Source organism: Homo sapiens, chromosome 1 (genome assembly GCF_000001405.40).
Source record: "Homo sapiens chromosome 1, GRCh38.p14 Primary Assembly".
Taxonomy (NCBI): domain Eukaryota; kingdom Metazoa; phylum Chordata; class Mammalia; order Primates; family Hominidae; genus Homo; species Homo sapiens.
The window spans coordinates 150486875-150507935 of NC_000001.11; the positions used below are offsets into that span (position 1 = coordinate 150486875).

At 48.5% G+C, this 21061-nt stretch overlaps 1 protein-coding gene and 1 non-coding gene across 10 annotated transcripts, besides 2 other annotated features; both read left to right on the plus strand.

The window, feature by feature from the left end:
- Positions 370-639: an enhancer, noted in NCBI's record as "active region_1688". NCBI's record gives its function as "activates an Ori minimal core promoter by ATAC-STARR-seq in GM12878 lymphoblastoid cells {active_cell/tissue: GM12878}" and the evidence as "EXISTENCE:reporter gene assay evidence [ECO:0000049][PMID:35858748]".
- Positions 370-876: an enhancer, noted in NCBI's record as "H3K27ac hESC enhancer chr1:150459720-150460226 (GRCh37/hg19 assembly coordinates)". NCBI's record gives its function as "activates a minimal SCP1, AML or CMV promoter by ChIP-STARR-seq in naive H9 embryonic stem cells {active_cell/tissue: H9 hESC(naive)}" and the evidence as "EXISTENCE:reporter gene assay evidence [ECO:0000049][PMID:30033119]".
- Positions 545-20728, plus strand: TARS2 (threonyl-tRNA synthetase 2, mitochondrial). 9 transcript variants are annotated; one of them, NM_025150.5, is made up of 18 exons: positions 545-642; positions 984-1180; positions 2090-2213; positions 3727-3851; positions 4520-4637; positions 4724-4788; positions 5537-5615; positions 9608-9754; positions 9936-10034; positions 10656-10873; positions 11628-11790; positions 12023-12160; positions 12342-12419; positions 17461-17561; positions 17758-17859; positions 18032-18104; positions 18717-18831; positions 20042-20728. In NM_025150.5, exons 1-18 carry the CDS (start codon positions 577-579, stop codon positions 20188-20190), a joined length of 2157 nt encoding a protein of 718 aa, NP_079426.2. In that variant the 5' UTR covers positions 545-576; the 3' UTR covers positions 20191-20728. The 9 variants fall into 9 exon arrangements, 7 of the variants coding, with proteins under 7 accessions (NP_079426.2, XP_006711618.1, XP_047286857.1 ...); NR_073514.2 differs by lacking the exon at positions 3727-3851; XM_006711555.3 differs by lacking the exon at positions 17758-17859.
- MIR6878 (microRNA 6878) lies at positions 5471-5536 on the plus strand. Its single transcript, NR_106938.1, has one exon. It is a non-coding gene; the product is annotated as a microRNA 6878 (primary transcript).

Consider the following 21061-nt stretch of genomic DNA (forward strand, 5'->3'; position numbering starts at 1 on the left):
TACCCTGGCCAACATAGTGAGACCCGCCCCCCCCTCCCGCCCCCCCCGGTCTCTATTAAATAAATATGAGAAGTTTAATAATTTTCCCAAAATTACATAGTTAATGGCAGATCCAGAATTTACACTAGGTCTGTCTGGTTCCCCAGTCTATGCTCTTAAGTTTTGCTACTTGCTGTAAGGACCACGTAAAATAAAATGTATAGTTAAAGGGAAATTACTACCATTTCCTGTCTGGTTTTCTCCCACTCTCGCCCTCAAAAGTTCACCTGCCCTTGTCCTCAAAGCCACAGGACGCCTAATTGCTATTTTTGGGTTTCAGCTGAAACGCCACGGGTCTGGGGGAATAGCGAGGGTGTGTTACATTTTCGGTCTTCCGGTCAGCCGGAACCACTCACACCGCTGCTGGTGCTGTGTAGGGTGTACCTCTTCGGAGTTCCTGGAGGTGGTGCCAGACTAGAGTGGCAGCTGTAGTAACCAATAGACACGGACTTTGTTGGACCAGAAGCCAATGAAGAATTACGTGGAGGAGAAGCGGCGATAATCTGTTTGAGGATGTAGGCACTGGTGTGAAGGAACATGGCCCTGTATCAGAGGTGGCGGTGTCTCCGGCTCCAAGGTTTACAGGCTTGCAGGCTACACACGGTGCGTGAGGCACCCCCAAAGCTCCGATCCGCATCAGACTTAGCCCAGCCGAAGCCCCCAAATTTTTATGTTAACCCAGCCTCACGCCACTCCTCCTCTCCCTGGTCCTCCGAGTCCCCAGAAAAGGACTCGTATCTAAACTCGTTATCTAATTCTCGAGTTAGCGGTCTGGGGGACTCTGAGCTCGAAGGACCCCCAGCCTAGGGTCTTGTATCACCCAATCCCCTTAAAAAGTAGGAATTCGGACGAAGTCCACTTAACCATCCCAAAGTGCCATCATCTGCAATTCTAAGAAAGAATGATGGGACGTGTGTTACCTGCTAATATATCTTTCCCTCCAGGCAGTTGTGTCGACCCCTCCACGCTGGTTGGCAGAGCGGCTTGGCCTTTTTGAGGAGCTGTGGGCTGCTCAGGTAAAGAGATTAGCAAGCATGGCACAGAAGGAACCCCGGACTATTAAGATATCACTTCCTGGAGGCCAGAAAATTGATGCTGTGGCATGGAACACAACCCCCTACCAACTAGCCCGGCAGATCAGGTAACAGGCCCATCCTGTAACTACCAGGATTATCCTTCTGCCCCTTTACTTTCTCTTCACTTGAGCAGGGGAAGAAAACTTGGTCTGCTTGTTTCTGTTCCGTCCCCATTAAGATAGCCTTTCCTGAAGATTTTGTTTTTGTTTTTTGTTGTTGTTCTTTTATACAGACGGGGTCTCTCCATGTTGCCCAGGCTAGTCTTGAACTCCTGGGCTCAAGCGATCCTTCCATCTCAGCCTCCCGAAGTGCTGGGATTACAGGCATGAGCCACCAAACCCGGCCTGAGATTTGTTTTATCTGTATTAGTTTCTGCATCAGAGTCTCTGTCCTTTCATTGGGGAAAGAAATGAAAGCTTCTGTTGCTCTGGTAACTCATTTCACCTTTGCAAGTTTACAGTTGCTGAGAGATGAGCAACTTTCTCCCCACTGTGGATTGTAACCCTGTCTGTTTTAAATCATTAATTTACTTTTTAATAATTGATACATAATAATTGAACATATGAATGGGTATATGTGATATTTTGATATATGCATACAATATGTAATGATCAAATCAGGGTGTTCAGGATATCTGTTACCCCAAACATTTATCATTTCTTTGTGTTGGGACTATTTCAAATCTTCTAGCTATTTTGAAATATACAATAAATTATTATTAACTGTATTCACCCAACTCTGCTATGGAACATTAGAGCATATTCCTTCTGTCTAACTCTATTTTTGTACCCATTAGCCAACCTCTTCATCTCCCCTCCCCCATCCTTTCCAGCCTCTGGTAACTATCACTCTATTCTCTACCACTGTGAGATCAACTTTTTAAACTCTCATATAGGAATCAGAACATGTGATATTTTCCTTTTTGTGCCTTGTAACCCTGTCTTTTTCTTCATCCCCACCTTCCACTGCTGAAGTTCAACACTGGCAGATACTGCAGTGGCTGCTCAAGTGAATGGAGAACCTTATGATCTGGAGCGGCCCTTGGAGACAGATTCTGACCTCAGATTTCTGACATTCGATTCCCCAGAGGGGAAAGCAGTAAGTTTCTTTCTTATCAGGAATACAGTGACTACTAAACCAAGAGATATTGAAGCAGGAAATTCTAACATTTTATTCTTTTGCCGCAGTTTCTCCATTTGCAGTTGGGAGGGAGACCTACCACAGACTGTCTTGACTATTTCTGGTTAGGAAACTTATGGTGAAAGTTTTTAACTTAGCTTCGATCTATTAAGCAAACATTTGTGCTAGTGAGAGGGAGAGAGATGATATGTTGAAAAAACGAAAGGATAAATATGTAAATTCAGCCCCCTCAACTCTTGAGCACGTACATTATAAGTCATCTGTAGTGTATATTCAATTCTAACATGGCTTATACAGCTGAGCAAACAACCTGGTCACCTCCCCACCTTGTCTTCTTCATGTCAGCTCAGGTAGCACAGACCTTGCCTATTAGGATCCAGAAAAATAGAGTTCTCCTGCCATCTATGTGTAAATAGTGACCAAATCCAAGAGGAATATATCGCACTAGATTCGTGGGACAGAAAAAAATAGGACTAAAAGACCAAACAGAGACCTAAGTAACCACTGTGTTAAGAAGATAGCTTATTCTGGCCAGGCACAGTAGCTCACGCCTGTAATCCCAGCACTTTGGGAGGCCGAGGCAGGTGGATCATCTGAGGTCAAGAGTTCAAGACCAGCCTGGCCAACATAGTAGAAACCCCGTCTCTACTAAAAATACAAAAATTAGCTGGGCGTGGTGGTGAGCACTTGTCATCCCAGCTAATTGAGAGGCTGAGGCAGGAGAATTGCTTGAACCCTGGAGGCGGAGGTTGCAGTGAGCTGAGATCGCGTCATTGCACTCTAGCCTGGGCGACAGAGCGAGACTCCGTCTCAAAAAGAAAAATTATTCTGAAGCCCTAAAAGCTTACAGGAGCAGCAGAAGACTGACTGGCCTCCAGCTTCTATGCTTTGGAACTGGGAAGAACCAAGGATTGAGGGGTGGGGCTGGAGCTTCTATGCACTGAAAGAAGAAAAAATACTGGCCTTCTTTCTTTTCTATTCAGTCTTTTTTTTTTTTTTTTTTTTTTGAGATGGAGTCTCACTCTGTCACCCAGGCTGGAGTGCAGTGGCGCGATCTTGGTTCACTGCAACTTCCACCTCCCGGGTTCAAGTGATTCTCCTGCCTCAGCCTCCTGAGTAGCTGGGATTACAGACACACGCCACCATGCCTGGCTAGTTTTGTATGTTTTAGCAGAGACAGGGTTTCACCATGTTGGCCAGACTGGCCTCGAACTCCTGACCTCAGATGATCCGCCTGCCTTGACCTCCTGAAGTGTTGGGGTTACAGGCATGAGCTGCTGTGCCCAGCCTTTTTTTTTAAGCTTGTTACTTTTTAGTGGTCACCCCCAAAATCTAGGATCCCCATTTTGTGGTAGTTATTCCTAGAAGAACCATACCGGCTTTCCTACCAGCTTTTGTGAGGAAGAGCTCAGAGATCTAGGGGTTAAGGGAGAAGTTTATGAACTTGTGAACCCCTTTTTTGTGAACCCAGGTGTTCTGGCACTCCAGCACCCATGTCCTGGGGGCAGCAGCTGAACAATTCCTAGGTGCTGTTCTCTGCAGAGGTCCAAGTACAGAATATGGCTTTTACCATGATTTCTTCCTGGGAAAGGAGAGGTGAGTAATGAAAGGAAGGAGGAGAATGATTCTGGGATGGTTTCTGAGGCTCTTTTCAGGGGCCTTGGGCATGCTCCATTTGGATGAGGAAGCTGGAGGAGAAGGGTTTCTCTAGGTCTCAACTATGACATTAGTATCTCCTTCTGTGCTAGTCCATGTCCCTCTTCTAACTTTGCTTGAAATTTACCTTCTTGGCTGGTGCACATGTAGTCCCAGCTACTTGGGAGGCTGAGGTGGAAGGATCACTTGAGCCTGGGAGGTTGAGGCTGTGGTGAGCCATGATCTTAACCACTGCACCCAACTTGTGTGACACAGCAAGACACTTTCTCAAAAAAAAAACAAAAAGAAAAAGAAGAAACAACTTACTTTGTTACTTGTTAGCTTTCATAAATTCAAGTTTTACTTAATCGCCCTCATTACTATTGTTCTAACTTTGTCTATCCAGATTTCCTGCATTCAACTTTTAACTTCATGCATAGAGCTTTTTCTCCAGCTGTAATATCTGTTACCTGATATCCTATTTATATTTTCTCTGAGTTTGTCTGTCTTTGCCTATAACTCTAGATTTCTCTTGAAGGACAGGACCTTACCCGCTAGCCAACAGGTGTGTCACCCAGGTGATTGATGCACCTCATAGGATGCAACCCAACCAATTCTCCTCTTTCCAGGACAATCCGGGGCTCAGAGCTGCCTGTTTTGGAGCGGATTTGCCAGGAACTTACAGCTGCTGCTCGACCCTTCCGGAGGCTAGAGGCTTCACGGGATCAGCTTCGCCAGTTGTTCAAGGTGGGGTGGAGGGAAGAGGTGGCTCTTCCAGGACATCTTTGTGGGAATAAACACTTTTCTTCAATCTCCCTTCTACCTTTTTCCAGGATAACCCCTTTAAGCTTCACTTGATTGAGGAGAAAGTGACAGGTCCAACAGCAACAGTATATGGGTAAGAGTTGTCAAGATTAAGGCAAACAGAGAGGTGGGGAAGCATTGAAGAAGGCCAGAAATGCGATAAGGGAAGAAAGATAGAAGGTAATTTGTGTTGCTCCAGAAAAAGAAATGGGAATGGGAATTGATTTTTTTTTTTTCTTTTTTTGAGACGGAGTCTTGGTCTGTCTCCCAGGCTGGAGTGCGGTAGCACGATCTCGGCTCACTGCAACCTCCGCCTCCTGGGTTCAAGTGATTCTCCTGCCTTAGCCTCCAGAGTGGCTGGGATTACAGGCATGTGCCACCATGCCTGGCTAGTTTTTTTTTTTTTTTTTTTTTTTGAGATGAAGTCTTGTTCTGTCACCCAGGCTGGAATGCAGTGGCGCGATCTCGGCTCACTGCATCTCTGCCTCCCGGGTTCAAACAATTCTTCTGCCTCAGCCTCCCGAGTAGCTGGAACTACAGGCATGCACCACCATGCCTAGCTAATTTTTATATTTTTAGTAGAGACGGGGTTTCACCATATTGTCCAGGCTGGTCTCGAACTCCTGACCACGTGATCCACCCACCTTGGCCTCCCAAAGTTCTGGGATTATAGACATGAGCCACCGCGCCCTGCCAGGGAATTGATTTTTATCTGCCATTGCCCTCTCTCAGTAGGACAGTTCCTTTCTCTTCACCTCTTCTGTCAGCTAAAGACCATGAGAGGGAGAAAGCTAGAAGCTGAAGATTCTGAAAATCACTAACTGGCCTCTTCTTTCTCCTAGGTGTGGCACATTGGTTGACCTTTGCCAGGGCCCCCACCTTCGGCATACTGGACAGATTGGAGGACTGAAGCTGCTATCGGTCAGTTGTGGGACAGAGTTAGGTTAAGATTCCTATTTTGAGCCGGGCATGGTGGCTCACGCTTGTAATCCCAGCACTTTGGGAGGCTGAGGCAGATGGATCATAAAGTCAGGAGTTTGAGACCAGCCTGGCCAATATGGTGAAACCCCGTCTCTACTAAAAATACAAAAATTAGCTGGGTGTGGTGGCACACACCTGTAGTCCTAGCTGCTCGGGAGGCTGAGACAGGAGAGTTGCCTGAACCTGGGAGGCGGAGGTTGTAGTGAGCCGAGACTGCACTACTGCACTCCAGCCTGGGCAACAGAGCGAGAGTCCATCTCAAAAAAAAAAAAAAAAAAATTCCTGGTTTCACTGGGATGAGCAGGAGAATCGGAAGGTGATACTTTCTGTCGGCACCCCCCTTTTTTTTTTTTGAGACCAAGTCTCTCGGTCGCCCAGGCTGGAGTGCAGTGGCGCGATCTTGGCTCACTGCAAGCTTCGCCTCCTGGATTCAAGCAATTCTCCTGCTTCAGCCTCCCGAGTAGCTGGGATAATAGGTGTGCACCACCATGCCCAGCTACTTTTTGTATTTTTAGTAGAGACAGGGTTTCACCATGTTGGCCAGGGTGATCTCAAGTGATCTTCCCTTCTCAGCCTCCCAAAGTGCTGGGATTACAGGCATGAGCCACTGAGCCTGGCCCTGTACTCTCATAAGCTGAGCGGGGAATACAGGAGAAAGAAACTTTGTCCCCACATTCTAAAAACCCGTTTGATGGCACACACTGGACAGCCTGCTAGGGCCCAGAAGCCAATTCAGATGCCCTAATATGATGTCAGTATTAAGGGGGGTGGAGGGGTGGAGCAGGAGGGTGTGAGCAAGCTGGATGGGTCATACAGGGAAGGGTTGTAGAGAGAGGGGGCGTGGTCCAGGAGGAAGATGAACACCATTTGACAGGCACAGGGAAAATACCTTTAGTAAAGGGCATGCTTTTTATGAAAATACCGTTCTGCATGGTGGCTCACGCCTATAATCCCAGCACTTTGGGAAGCCGAGGTGGGTGGACCACCTGAGGTCGGGAGTTCAAGACCGGCCTGACCAACATGGAGAAACCCCGTCTCTACTAAAAATACAAAATTAACTGGGCGTGGTGGCACATGCCTGTAATCCCAGCTACTTGTGAGGCTGAGGCAGGAGAATCACTTGAACCTGGGAGGTGGAGGTTGTGGCGATCCAAGATCGTGCCATTGCACTCTAGCCTGGGCAACAAGAGCAAAACTCCGTCTCAAAAAAAAAAAAAAGAAAAGAAAATACTGTTCTGGACAAGAAGAGTTACTAGATGGAATGGGATGAGTTACAAGGGAGCAAGGGGAAATGCAGATGTGTAGAGCAAAAAGCTCTGAACTTAGACTGGGCATGGTGGCTCATGCCTATAATCCCAGCACTTTGGGAGGCCAAGGTGGGTGGATCACTTGAGATCAGCCTGGCCAACATGGCAAAACCCCATGGCGCGGTGGCCTTGGGTAAATCTTACTTATTTTCCCCATCTATAAAATGAGGCTATTAATTCCTTTTTGTCCTACCAGTAAATTCACCTCATAAAGATAATGAAAACCAGGCCAGGCATGGTGGCTCACACCTGTAATCCCAGCACTTTGGGGAGGGTGAGGCAGGCGGATCACTTGAGGTCAGGAGTTCGAGACCAGCCTGGCCAACATGGTGAAACCCTGTCTCTACTAAAAATACACAAATTAGCTGGGTGTGCTGGCCTACGCCTGTAATCCCAGCTACAAAAAAGGCTGAGGCAGGAGAGTCACTTGAACTCTGCCAGGAGGCAGAGGTTGCAGTGAGCTGAGATTGTGCCACTGCATTCCAGCCTGGGCCACGGAGCGAGACAACATCTCAAAAAAAAAAAAAAAAAAAAAGATAATGAAAACCAACTAATTCAGGAAAAAGGAAAAGTTAAAAAGTGCTGTAAAATACAGACTGTCGGCCAGGTGCGGTGGTTCACACGTGTAATCCCAACACTTTGGGAGGCCAAGTTGGGCGGATCACTTGAGCTCAGGAGTTCAAGACCAGCCTGGCCAACATGGTGAAACCTCGTCACTACTAAAAATAAAAAATTAGCTGGGCGTGGTGGCATGCACCTGTAGTCCCAGCTACTCGGGAGGCTGAGGCAGGAGAATTGCTTGAACTGGGAGGCAGAGGTTGCAGTGAGCCAAGATTGCACCACTGCACTCCAGCCTGGGCAACAGAGTGAGACTCTGTTTCAAAAAATATACATATAGGGGCTGGGCGTGGTGGCTCACGCCTGTAATCCTAACACTTTGGGAGGCTGAGGCGAGTGAATCACGAGGTCCAGAGATCGAGACCATCCTGGCTAACACCGTGAAACCCCGTCTCTACTAAAAATACAAAAAATTAGCCAGGTGTGGCCGGGCGCAGTGGCTCACGCCTGTAATCCCATCACTTTGGGAGGCTGAGGCAGGCGGATCATGAGGTCAGGAGATCGAGACCATCCTGGCTAACACGGTGAAACCCTGTCTACTAAAAATACAAAAAATTAGCTGGGCGAGGTGGCGGGCGCCTGTAGTCCCAGCTACTTGGGAGGCTGAGGCAGGAGAATGGCGTGAACCCTGGGGGGTGGAGCCTGCAGTGAGCCAAGATCACGCCACTGCACTCCAGCCTGGGCGACAGCGAGACTCCGTCTCAAAAAAAGAAAAAAAAAATTAGTCGAGTGTGGTGGTGGTGGCCTGTAGTCCCAGCTACTTGGGAGGCTGAGGCAGGAGAATGGCGTGAACCTGGGAGGCGGAGCTTGCAGTGAGCCGAGATCGCGCCACTGCACTCCAGCCTGGGTGACAGATGTATATACACACACACACACACGTATAGACTGTTTCTCATTAGTACTGTTTAACAGTTTTATTTTATTTCATTTTTATTTTTTTGAGACAGAGTCTTGCTCTGTTGCCCAGGCTGGAGTGCAGTGGCCTGATCTCGGCTCACTGCAACCTCTGCCTGCCAGGTTCAAGCAATTCTCCTGCCTCAGCCTCCTGAGTAGCTGGGTTACAGGCACGTGCCACCACACCTGGCTAATTTTTGTATTTTTAGTACAGACAAGGTTTCACCATGTTGGTCAGGCTGGTCTTGAACTCTTGACCTTGTGATCCACCCACCTCAGCCCCCCAAAGTGCTGGGATTACAGGTGTGAGCCACTGCGCCCGGCCTCTCATTAGTACTTTTTTGTTTGTTTGTTTGTTTGTTATTTTTTGAGATGGAGTCTTGCTCTGTCGCCCAGGCTGGAGTGCAGTGGTGCGATCGCGACTCACTGCTAGCTCCACCTTCCGGGTTCATGCCATTGTCCTGCCTCAGCCTCCCGAGTAGCTGCGACTACAGGCACCCACCACCACACCCAGTTAATTTTTTTGTATTTTTAGTAGAGACGGGGTTTCACCATGTTAGCCAGGATGGTCTCGATCTCCTGACCTCGTGATCCGCCCGCCTCGGCCTCCCAAAGTGCTGGGATTACAGGCGTGAGCCACCGCGCCCGGCTCATTAGTACTGTTAAAGGAGAGAGCAGGCAGAGGCTTTTGGATTTCATGTGGCCAGGAATGGGATATGGTATAGAAGACTGACTTTTCTAGCAGCTGTATAGGATATTGATAAATGGAGGAATAGACTGACATTTGACCAGAGCTTATGGTTATTCCTCTAAGCAGTCATTGATTAGAATGGGAAGGAACTAAGTAAAGGGGTAATGAGAATGGGGAGAAAAAGAGATGGCAAGGTAAGGTTAGGCCTGACCAGGTTGTATGTAGGAATTAAGAGTCAGGCAATTTCAACACTTTAATCTAGAAGAATGGTGTCTAGAGGATGGAGGTGTTCATCCTACTGGTGGGATTGTTGTCAAGAGGCATACCTGTGACACTTAACACTGAGAGTATCATTTGAGTCTTGAAAAAGGTGGGGGCCTTCAGTCCTCATCTTTCCTTTGATCCCCTATGTCCTCACACAGAACTCATCATCCTTATGGAGGTCTTCAGGGGCCCCAGAGACACTGCAGAGAGTGTCAGGGATTTCCTTCCCCACAACAGAATTGCTGAGGGTCTGGGAAGCATGGAGGGAGGAAGCAGAATTGCGGGACCACCGGCGCATTGGGAAGGTACAGGAATTGGGAAGATAGGGAGGGATGGTGATAAGGGTTGGAGAGAGATGACAGAACCTGATTATGAAATTGGGAGCAGATTCAGTCACACAGACTGAGCAGCTCCGTCAGTTGTTCTGAGTTCCAAAGCCACCTCCTTGCCCTTGAGGTGACCCAATATTGCTATTCCTGACCCCAGGAACAGGAGCTCTTCTTCTTCCATGAACTGAGCCCTGGGAGCTGCTTCTTCCTGCCACGAGGGACAAGGGTGTATAATGCACTAGTGGCGTTTATCAGGGTAAGGGGACCCAGGTCTAGAGGAAAGAAGACCAGGGAGGGGCTGAGGGACTAGAAGAAGCTAAGGTGTTTGTGTTAAAAGATGGGGGTTGGGGCCGGGCACAGTGGCTCACATCTATAATCCTAGCACTTTCGGAGGCTGAGCCGTGCAGATCACCTGAGGTCAGGAGTTCGAGACCAGCCTGGCCAACATGGCAAAACCCTGTCTCTACTAAAATAAATACAAAAAATTAGCCAGTGTGGTGGCAGCGCCTGTAGTCCCAGCTACTGGGGAGGCTGAGGCAGGAGAATCCCTTGAACCCAGGAAGGGGAGGTTGCAGTGAACTGAGATTGAGCCACTGCACTCCAGCCTGTGTGATACAGTGAGACTCCGTCTTGAAGAGAAAAAAAAAGGTGGGGGGGCTGGTTTGGAATCATAAACATAAATATTGAAAGTGCTGGTGACCTTTAATACTACAATTGTGTGGTCTGCAGTCGGGGAGCATAGAGATGGGACCTGGTATTTAATAGGTTGTGGTTGCAATCAGCATGGCCTGAGGGCCCAGGAAGATCACACAGCTGACACCCTACCTGCTTTCCTTCCAGTTACTCTGACCTTCCATGTCTGTACCCTCCTCTCCAGGCTGAGTATGCCCATCGTGGTTTCTCCGAGGTGAAAACTCCCACACTGTTTTCTACGAAGCTCTGGGAACAGTCAGGGCACTGGGAGCATTATCAGGAAGACATGTTTGCCGTGCAGCCCCCAGGCTCTGACAGGCCTCCCAGCTCCCAGAGTGACGATTCTACCAGGCATATCACAGATACACTCGCCCTCAAGCCTATGAACTGCCCTGCACACTGGTAAGCTGGGAGCTAGGGTTACAATCAGGTTGCTAAATATTAAATAATAGAAAGCACCTTGGGGCCGGGCACGGTGGCTCACGCCTGTAATCCCAACACTTTGGGAGGCCGAGGCGGGCGGATCACCTGAGGTCGGGAGTTTGAGACCAGCCTGACCAACATGGAGAAACCCTGTCTCTACTAAAAATACAAAAAATTAGCCGGGCACGGTGGCGGGCGCCTGTAGTCCCAGCTACTCAGGAGGCTGAGGCAGGCTAATGGCGTGAACCCAGGAGGTGGAGCTTGCAGTGAGCCGAGATCGCGCCACTGCACTCCAGCCTGGGTGACACAGCGAGACTCCATCTCAAAAAAAAAAAAAAAAAGAAAGCACCTTGGAAAGAGTATTGGGACACCGATTTGAGCCTACAGTCTTCCCCCTAGCTAACCATGTAAATTTGGGAAACTCATTTTACCTCTTTAGGTCTCAGTCTCCTTAAAGTTGCTATCTAAGGCTCCTCCTTCAGCTCAGTGACCATCACAGAACAGGGAAATGGTAAACGATGTCTGTTATTGTGTTACTGAGAAATCCACTTTTGAACCTCAGGGCTCAGACTGTGATGAGTGGGATTGACAGGACTCAGTGGGAGGATGTGCTGAGGCTGGAGAGGGTTATAGCAGATGGTGCAGAGAAAGTAGGCAAGCAGATTGGGTGGAGGAGCAGTCTTCGGGGGCTAGTCCTCCCTATGGCCCTGACCCCTCTGCACCCCAACCTCAGCCTGATGTTCGCCCACCGGCCCAGATCCTGGCGGGAACTGCCCCTGCGACTAGCTGACTTTGGGGCTCTACACCGGGCCGAAGCCTCTGGTGGTCTGGGGGGACTGACCCGACTGCGGTGCTTCCAGCAGGATGACGCTCACATCTTCTGTACAACAGATCAGGTGGCCTTTCCCTGGCTCCACCAAAGCTTTTCTAAACCACCTTTCTTTCTCCCTATGAACCTGCAAACCCCTGATCTTTATTTGCCCCCTGTATGTACTATAATTCAGCTACATTCTACCCCCAGCTTGCTTCCGCTTCCTCTCTGTTTTTGCCCTTTGTTTTCCTCAAACTGCCAGCATCCCTGATCTCTAGCGGGCTCACAGCTCACTGACCCTTATTTCCTGCCCCTAGCTGGAAGCAGAGATCCAAAGCTGTCTTGATTTCCTCCGTTCCGTCTATGCCGTTCTTGGCTTCTCCTTCCGCCTGGCACTGTCCACCCGGCCATCTGGCTTCCTGGGGGACCCTTGCCTTTGGGACCAGGCCGAACAGGTGAGTAGGAGGTAGAGAAATAGAGGCAGATAAACCACTCTCTGGTGGGAAGGAGTGGAGAATACAGTAATCAAGGTTCTCAGAGGCATCTGGTGAGTGGGTCATTTGTTGGGGACTGACCGGATGTGTTGCTTTTGAAGTCTAAGATGATGTATTCCACTCTTGTCTCATTCCTTCAAAGGTCCTTAAACAGGCCCTGAAGGAATTTGGAGAACCCTGGGACCTCAACTCTGGAGATGGTGCCTTCTATGGACCTAAGGTAAGCTTGGGACCCTGGTTAGTGTTGTATTTATTTATTTTTTGCTTTGTTTTAGTAAATATTTAATAGATACAAAGAATTTTTTTTTTTGAGACAGTCTCACTCTGTCACCCAGGCTAAAATGCAGTGGTGTGATCTCAGCTCACTGCAACCTCCAGCTCCCTGGTTCAAGCAATTCCCCTGCCTCAGCCTCCCGAGTAGCTGGGATTACAGGTGTACGCCACCACACCCGGCTAATTTTTTTGTATTTTTAATAGAGATGGGGTTTCGCCATGTTGGCCAGACTGGTCTCGAACTCCTGACCTCAGGCAATCCACCCCACTTGGCCTCCCAAAGTGCTGGGATTACAGGCGTGAGCCACCGCACCCGGCCACAAAGAAATATTTTTAAACTTACGTAGGATATAAAGAAAAACAATATACTTTCTGCCCTCTTGGCATCTGCAATCTAGTGAGGGCTGCTGAAGGTAAATAGGCCATATCAGTGCTGCGAGATCTGTGCTGTGTAGGTACCAAGAGAGCACGTTAGCTGGGGTTAGCATTACTCGGGGAGGTTACAAAAGGTGTCCTGCAGGAATCACTTTCCAATCTGAAAGGTGAGTGTTGGCCAAGTAAAGATGTGTTTCAGGAGGGAACAGTGTAGGCAGAGGCTGGGGATAAGGATGAAAACACATGGCAGACCAATCTGGGCAACACAGGGAGACCCTGTGTCTACCAAAAAAAAAAAAAAAAATTAGCCGGGTGCAGTAGCTTGTGCCTGTGGTCCCAGCTACCCAGCAGGCTGAGATGGGAGGATCACCTGGTCCCAGGAGGTAGAGGCTGCAGTGAGCCGAGATTGCGCCCCACTGCACTCCAGCCTGGGTGATAGAGTGAGACCCTGTCTCAAAAAAAAAGAAGCCAAGGGGAAAAAAGGACTGAAAAGTGTCCACTGGATTTAGTAAAAAGGCTGCTGGATTTCAAAGGACCATTTTCAGTAAAGTAGGGCCTGAGGGTGGAGTTAGAAGATGAATAAATGAGGCCTGTGTGGTGGCTCACGCCTGTAATCCCAGCACTTTGGGAGGCCGACGTGGGTGGATCACTTGAGGTCAGGAGTTCGAGACCAGCCTGGCCAACGTGGCGAAACCCCATCTCTACTAAAAATATAAAAATTGGCCGGGTGAGGTGTTAGGACACACCTGTAGTCCCAACTACTCAGTAGCCTGAGGCAGGAGAATCGCTGAACCTGGGAAGTTGCAGTGAGCCAAGATCACACCACTGCACCCTAGCCTGGGCAACAGAGCAAGACTCCGTCCCAAAAAGTAAAAATAAAACAGGCTGGGGGCGGTGGCTCACGCCTATAATCCCAGCACTTTGGGAGGCTGAGGCAGGTGGATCACCTGAGGTCAGGGGTTTGAGACCCTGTCTCTACTAAAAATACAAAAATTAGCCCAGCGTGGTGACAGGCACCTGTAAACCCAGGAGGCGGAGGTTGCAGTGAGCCGAGGTCGCACCACTGCACTCCAGCCTGGGCGACAGAGTGAGGCTCCATCTCAGAAAAATAATAATAAAATGAAAAATAAAATAAATGCTATGATGAGAGGAAGTCTATTTGGAGGGAGAAGTTGTTGTAAAGGGAAGTTCCTGGAGAGGTTTAAGGTAGGATTGAGAAGCCTTCATAGAAGGGATCACCATTGCCATTGTATCCAGGGTGGAAGGAAAGGCTGAAGGTAGATGCAAGGAAGTTTGTAGGCATGGTAACAGGAAGTTGAGGCTCTTCCCATCCCATGGTATCAATTATCTGAATTCTTCATGAGGCAGGATCATTTGCTGAAATGAGAGTGGAGAAGAGGAGAGTTGTCAGTGAGGGGGCTGAAGATATGAAGAAAAGGCTGTGTGCAGTGGCCCCCTCTTGTAATCCCAGCACTTAGGGAGGCTGAGCTGAGATGATCACTTGAATCCAGGAGTTTGATACCAGCCTGGGCAACATAGTAACAGGGCATCATAATAAGACCTCGTCTCTACAAAAAAAAATTTTTTTTTTTTTTTTTTTTTTTTTTTTTTATTGAGACTATGTCTCGCTCTGCTGCCCAGGCTGGAGTGCAGTGGCTCGATCTCGGCTCACTGCAAGCTCCGCCTCCTGGATTCACGCCATTCTCCTGTCTCAGCCTCCCGAGTAGCTGGGACTATAGGCAGGCACCCATCACCATCACCATGCCTGGCTAATTTTTTTCTTTTTTTTTTTTTTTAGTAGATATGGGGTTTCACCGTGTTAGCCAGGATGGTCTCGATCTGCTGACCTCATGATCTGCCCGCCTTGGCCTACCAAAGTGCTGGGATTACAGGCATGAGCCACTGCGCCCGACCGTCTCTACAAAAAATTTAAAACAAATTTTAAAATTAGCTGGATGTGATGGTGGGCACCTGTAGTCCCAGCTACTCAAGAGGCTGAGGTGGGAGGATCACTTGAGCCCAGGATTTTGAGGCTGCATGAGCTATGATCAAGGCACCACACTCCAGCTTGGGTAACAGAACAAAACCCTGTCTCAATAAAATAAATAAATAAAAAGATAGAGAAAGGAAATTACTCAAGAACTGTTATATAGCTAAAATCTTTTTTTTGTTTGTTTTGTTTTATTTATTTATTTTTATATATTTTTTTGAGATCAAATTTTGCTCTGTCGCCCAGGTTGGAGTGCAGTGGCGCAATCTCGGCTCACTGCAACCTCTGCCTGCCAGGTTCAAGCGATTCTCCTGCCCCAGCCTCCCGAGTAGCTGGGATTACAGGCATGTACCACCACGCCCGGCTAATTTTTGTATTTTTAGTAGAGATGGGATTTCACCATGTTGGCCAGGCTGGTCTTGAACTCCCAACCTCAGGTGATCTGCTCGCCTTGGCTTCCCAAAGTGGTGGGATTATTACAGGCATGAGCCATCTTGCCCAGCGTTTTTTTCGTTTTTGTTTTTTTCCCCGAGACAGACTCTTGCTCTGTTGCCAGACTGAAGTGCACTGGCGGATCTTGGCTCACTGCAACCTCCACCTCCCAGGTTCAAGCGATTCTCTTGCCTCAGCCTCCCGAGTATCTGGGACAGGTGTGCACCACCACGCCCAGCTAATTTTTTTTTTTTTTTTTTTGAGGCGGAGTTTTACTCTGTCGCCAGGCTGGAGTGGAGTGGCACAATCTCGGCTCACCACAACCTCCACCTCCTGGGTTCAAGCGATTCTCCTGCCTCAGCCTCCCCAGTAGCTGGGATTACAGGCACCCGCTACCACACCAGCTAATTTTTGTATTCCCTTTTTTAGTAGACGGCATTTCACCGTGTTGGCCAGGCTGGTCTCGAACTCCTGACCTCAGGTGGTCCACCTACCTCGGCCTCCCAAAGTGCTGGGATTACAGGAGTGGGCCATGTGCCTTGCCTGGCTAAAATCTTTTGAGTACTCAAAGTTGCTGTTGACTGTGTTGGGGTCTTTTATTCAGGTAACATGTGTATTCTCATTTTTATGTCCCAAGTGTTTATTCCAGCATATGGTATTTATTTACCTGCTTCACTAAGTAGTTAGTAAATTAAAATATTAACAGTAATGAAAGTGTGTCTTCTGATTTATTTCAGCAATAACAGTAGGCAAATAAAATATCTTTATTACTAAGAAAAAAATTGAGAGAGGTTAAACAATGTGCTTAAGGTTACAGATATAACAGTCATAAAGTGTGTATTATGTTGAATCAGTCTAATAAGTTGCTGGCTCAGATACTGCTATAAAAAGAGAGAGCAAAAAACTGGAACATCCCTGAGGAGAACAGAGCATAGAGCTTATTAGGGCAATCCAAAGGATTGCTGGCAGCAGACAGGGACCAGCTGAATCTCGAAATACTGACTTCCATGGTGGCATCAATCTCTGCATTTGCATCTGTGTGGTTTGTGACATATTGGGCAGCACTGAGCAGTTCTCTTGCAGGGCCAAAGATGTAGGAGGCTAAGGTGCAGAAGAACAATGAATGGTACAAAGGGAACTAGGGAAAATGGTACAGCTTCATGGGATAAGAAACAAAGGTGGGAGGGGCCTGAGGATGGGAGAGAAAAAGAGGAGTTAAAGAACCGGTGGGTTGAAGTGCCATTAATAGGAATAATTGTCATGGCCGGGTGTGGTGGCTCACACCCATAATCCCAGCACTTTGGGAGGCCGAAGTGGGCAGATCACTTGAGATCAGGAGTTTGAGACCAGCCTTGCCAACATGGTGAAACCCCATCCCTACTGAAAAAAAAAAATACACATATGTGTGTGTGTGTGTGTGTGTGTGTGTGTGTGTATATATATGTGTGTGTGTGTGTGTATGTGTGTATATATATGTGTGTGTATATATGTGTGTGTATATATGTGTGTATATATGTGTGTATATATGTGTGTATATATGTGTATATATATGTGTGTGTATATATACACACACACACACACACATATACACACACATACATATATATATGTTAGCTGGGCGTGGTGGCATGTACCTGTAGTCCCAGCTACTCAGGAGGCTGAGGCAGGAGAGTCGCTTGAACCCGGGAGGCGGAGGCTGCAGTGAGCTGAAATCGTGCCACTGCACTCCTGTCAGGGTGACAGAGTGAGACTCTGTCTCAAAAAAAAAAAAAAAAAAGGAATAATTCTCAGAGCTGGCTGACCAAGAGACAGTAATCAGAGTAGGGTGTCTGATGGACAGTTTCAGAGGTACAGCCATTGGGGGAGATGACAGGATAAAGGGTGTAGCCATAGATGGGTGGTGGTGAAGATCTCTGAGATGAGGAGCTCAAGGAATTGAGAGGCCAGGGTGTGGACATCAGGTAATATTATAACACCATTATTAGATGGAGAGAGCTGCTGAGAACTACTGCCAGAGTGAGTTGAGTAGAGTGAACTGGAGGGGTAGCGTATGATAGAGCTAGGTGACATGATGAAGGTAGTAGCCCGGGATGAGGGTAGGTTAAAGGGTGGGATGGCACAGGTAATGGAGGATAGTGGTTCTGGATAGTGCTTCTGGCTTATCTCGTGCCTTCCCATCTGTTTCCTGTAGATTGACGTGCACCTCCACGATGCCCTGGGCCGGCCACATCAGTGTGGGACAATTCAGCTTGACTTCCAACTGCCCCTGAGATTTGACCTCCAGTATAAGGGGTATAAAACCTTGCCCTATCCTCTTTTCCCTTGACAGTGCATGGAATAAGTCCTTCTGCCTTTGGCCCTAAAAACTAAACCCTCCACACCCTCTCCTGCCAGAGCTGAATATTTCTTAAAAACTGGAAGGTGATCTTGGGTACACAATTCGTGATACTTCCACCATTCCATCCACCCCCCCCTTTTTCCTTTCAAGGCAGGCGGGTGCCCTGGAGCGTCCAGTCCTCATTCACCGAGCAGTGCTCGGTTCTGTGGAAAGACTGTTGGGAGTGCTGGCAGAAAGCTGCGGGGGGAAATGGTGAGACCTCTGACCTGGATTTCTGTTCTGGCCCCAAACCGGATAGTTATGCTCCAGATCCTGTCCCCCTTCATATGCCAGCCTCTTTCCTTCTCAAGTCTGCTCCATACAAGCACACTTCTGGCCAGAGCCAGAGTGACTAATTTGCCATCACCTGTTCTTTCCCTACCAGGCCACTGTGGCTGTCCCCGTTCCAGGTGGTGGTCATCCCTGTGGGGAGTGAGCAAGAGGAATACGCCAAAGAGGTAAGGAGTTGAGGTAAGGGAGGGGGCAGAAGCAGGTCCAGTAGAGAGTCTGGTGCCCTGCAGTGGGCAGGAAGAGGCTGCAGGGGTGGTAGAGGAAGGAGCACAGCCCTCACAGCCACAAGACTGGGCTCGAGTGGCTGCTGTCCTAGATGCTGGAAATCCTGTATCTAAAAAATGTGACTAATGCCTACCTTGTAGAGATGTATGAAAATTAAACAAATTAACAAATGTTGAAAGCCACCAAAAGAGCACTTGGCACAAAACTGGGATTGAGTACACAGTTTTATTTTTCCTTTCTAGAGAGAATTGAGGATATGGATGGTACCAGAGTCAAACAGCTGGTTGGGTAGAGCAGTGGCTAGAAGGCAAAGTCCACGGAATAACTGGGGGGTCATCTCCAGTAGGAGGCAGAAAGATTGTGGGGTTGGGGATGAATGGGGAGGAGGCCTCAATGTGGAGATGAAATGAGGAGAGGTTGCTGGTAAGAAGTGGAGAGCCCCGAGGCAGGGAAAGGAGGAACAGATGGGGGCATTGAGGGAAAAGAGCATCAGACTGTTCTAGCTCCTTAACTTTCCAGTAAATTAACTTCCTGTCACCAAACCTCTGTTGCAGGCACAGCAGAGCCTGCGGGCTGCAGGACTGGTCAGTGACCTGGATGCAGACTCTGGACTGACCCTCAGCCGGAGAATCCGCCGGGCCCAGCTTGCCCACTACAATTTTCAGTTTGGTAAGCTGAACCTCAGAGCCAATGTTCTCCCACCTGCCGTCTGCATTCTTGCTGTTAAGTTTACCAAGTCTGGTAATGCATATTTGGGTTAATTGGGGCTCATTACCTGAGCAGGTAGGAGCCAGGATTCAGGACACCTGACTCATTTGGGCCCTGTGTTCCTTCACATTGCCCTGCCCTCCCCATAACCACTTCTGACACTCAAAATAGTTTTCCTCTTTTTAACTCCACTCTAGCTGTTGGTGTCTGTTAGGTTAATTAACCAAGGGAGCATCAGAGAGAAAGGGACGGGAGGGTTAATACAGCGTTAATTACCCTTGTTTATTTTAGACCTAGATGGAATCAGCCCTAAGGGATGAGGAGAAAGGCCTTAGGGAGAAAATTCTGGCACTGCCATGCTCCCTTTTTCATTTTCCAGGGTTCAGGGCTCTATCTCAAAGGTGAGGAGCAGAAACTCCTCAGCCAGATTACCTGATTCTTGAGTTTTGCACACCCCACTCTCCCTACAAGCACCCAGAGCAAGCTGTGCTGCAATCCCAGGGACTTGTACATGGCCCCTTTCCCTCCCTTACCGCCCAGTCAGCCCCTGCATACATCCTCCTCAGCAGAGGCCCCTCACTCTGTGAATCCAGCCCTAACAGACACCAAGAGCCAGAGTGGGACTGATGAGAGGAAACTGTTCTAAGGGTCAGAGTGGTTGGGGGGAGGCGGGGCAGTGTGAAGGCCACACCACTCCTGCCACCTTCCACTTGCTCTAATACCCCCTTCAGACACGCGCGCGCACACACACACACACACACACACACACACAGTTTCTCTCTGTGGGGTTCTCATTGTTTGTCTTTCTCTGCTTGACTCTAATGTCTCTGACACACACACACACACACACACACACACACACAGTTTCTCTCTGTGGGGTTCTCAGTGTTTGTCTTTCTCTGCTTGACTCTTATGTCTCTGACCCTGGGGCTCTTGACCAGAAGCGATAAGGCCTGCGGGGACTGAAGCACTTCCTTGTCTCCTCAGGATGAGCAGGACTGGTCATTTAGTATTAGCAGACACAGCTGAATACTTCCTTTCTGTGAACCATATCTGGGCTCTGCTCCCACCCTTCCTAAAGATTTAGGTCTCTCAAGTTTCTGCAGAGCAAAAGAAACTGTTCCATGTGGGTGAATTTGCCCTGAGGTTCCCAAACTTCCTCTACCTGCAGTGGTTGGCCAGAAAGAGCAAAGTAAGAGAACAGTGAACATTCGGACTCGAGATAATCGTCGCCTTGGGGAGTGGGACTTGCCTGAGGCTGTGCAGCGACTGGTGGAGCTACAGAACACGAGGGTCCCAAATGCCGAAGAAATTTTCTGAGCCTTTGTACATAGATGAGGCAAAAACCTGCGAGTGCCATCAGCCTCCCTCACATGGGAGACCCCAACCCAGCTGACAATGTGGAGCCCCCAGAACTTCAGAACTGTGTGGAGGCACATGTCTGCTCTCCTGAAAAGAGACTTGGTTTGGGGACCCCACAAAAGGAGGGAAGCTGTAGCTGTTTGGATGTGAGGAGAATGAAACTACAAAAAAAAATAAATTGGGCCAGGCGCAGTGGCTCATGCCTGTAATCCCAGCACTCTGGGAGGCTGAGGCGGACGGATCATGAGGTCAGGAGATCAAGACCACCCTGGCTAACACGGTGAAACCCTGTCTCTACTAAAAATACAAAAAATTAGCCGGGCATGGTGGCACACGCCTGTAATCCCAGCTACTCAGGAGGCTGAGGCAGGAGAATCGCTTGAACCCGGGAGGTAGAGGTTGCAGTGAGCTGAGATTGCGCCACTGCACCCCCCTAGGCGACAGAGCGAGACTCTGTCTCTAAATAAATAAATAAATAAATAAATACAAACTGGAAGCTGCTGGTCATATGTCTTCATCTCTGACTCTGGAGAGGTGGGATAAAAGGATGTTCCACTTTGTCTCCCTCTTTTTTGTCCCAGAGAGTTAGGGAAATTGAAAAGGGACAGTCCAGACCTCACACTGGTAGGGGAGATCCCTTGGATAGGTTTCCTGCTCCCCGCTGTAAACTCCTTTGTGCCCTGTTTCCCCAACCCCAGTTCATGAGTTGGCAGATCCCCTCTCCACAGAAGGCAGCCTGTAGATGGAGAAACTGAGGCACAAACTAGGGGCTCAAACACCTCTTGCTCCTGGATTCTCTGAATCAGTTTCTCTTGAAGGTCATAAGAAT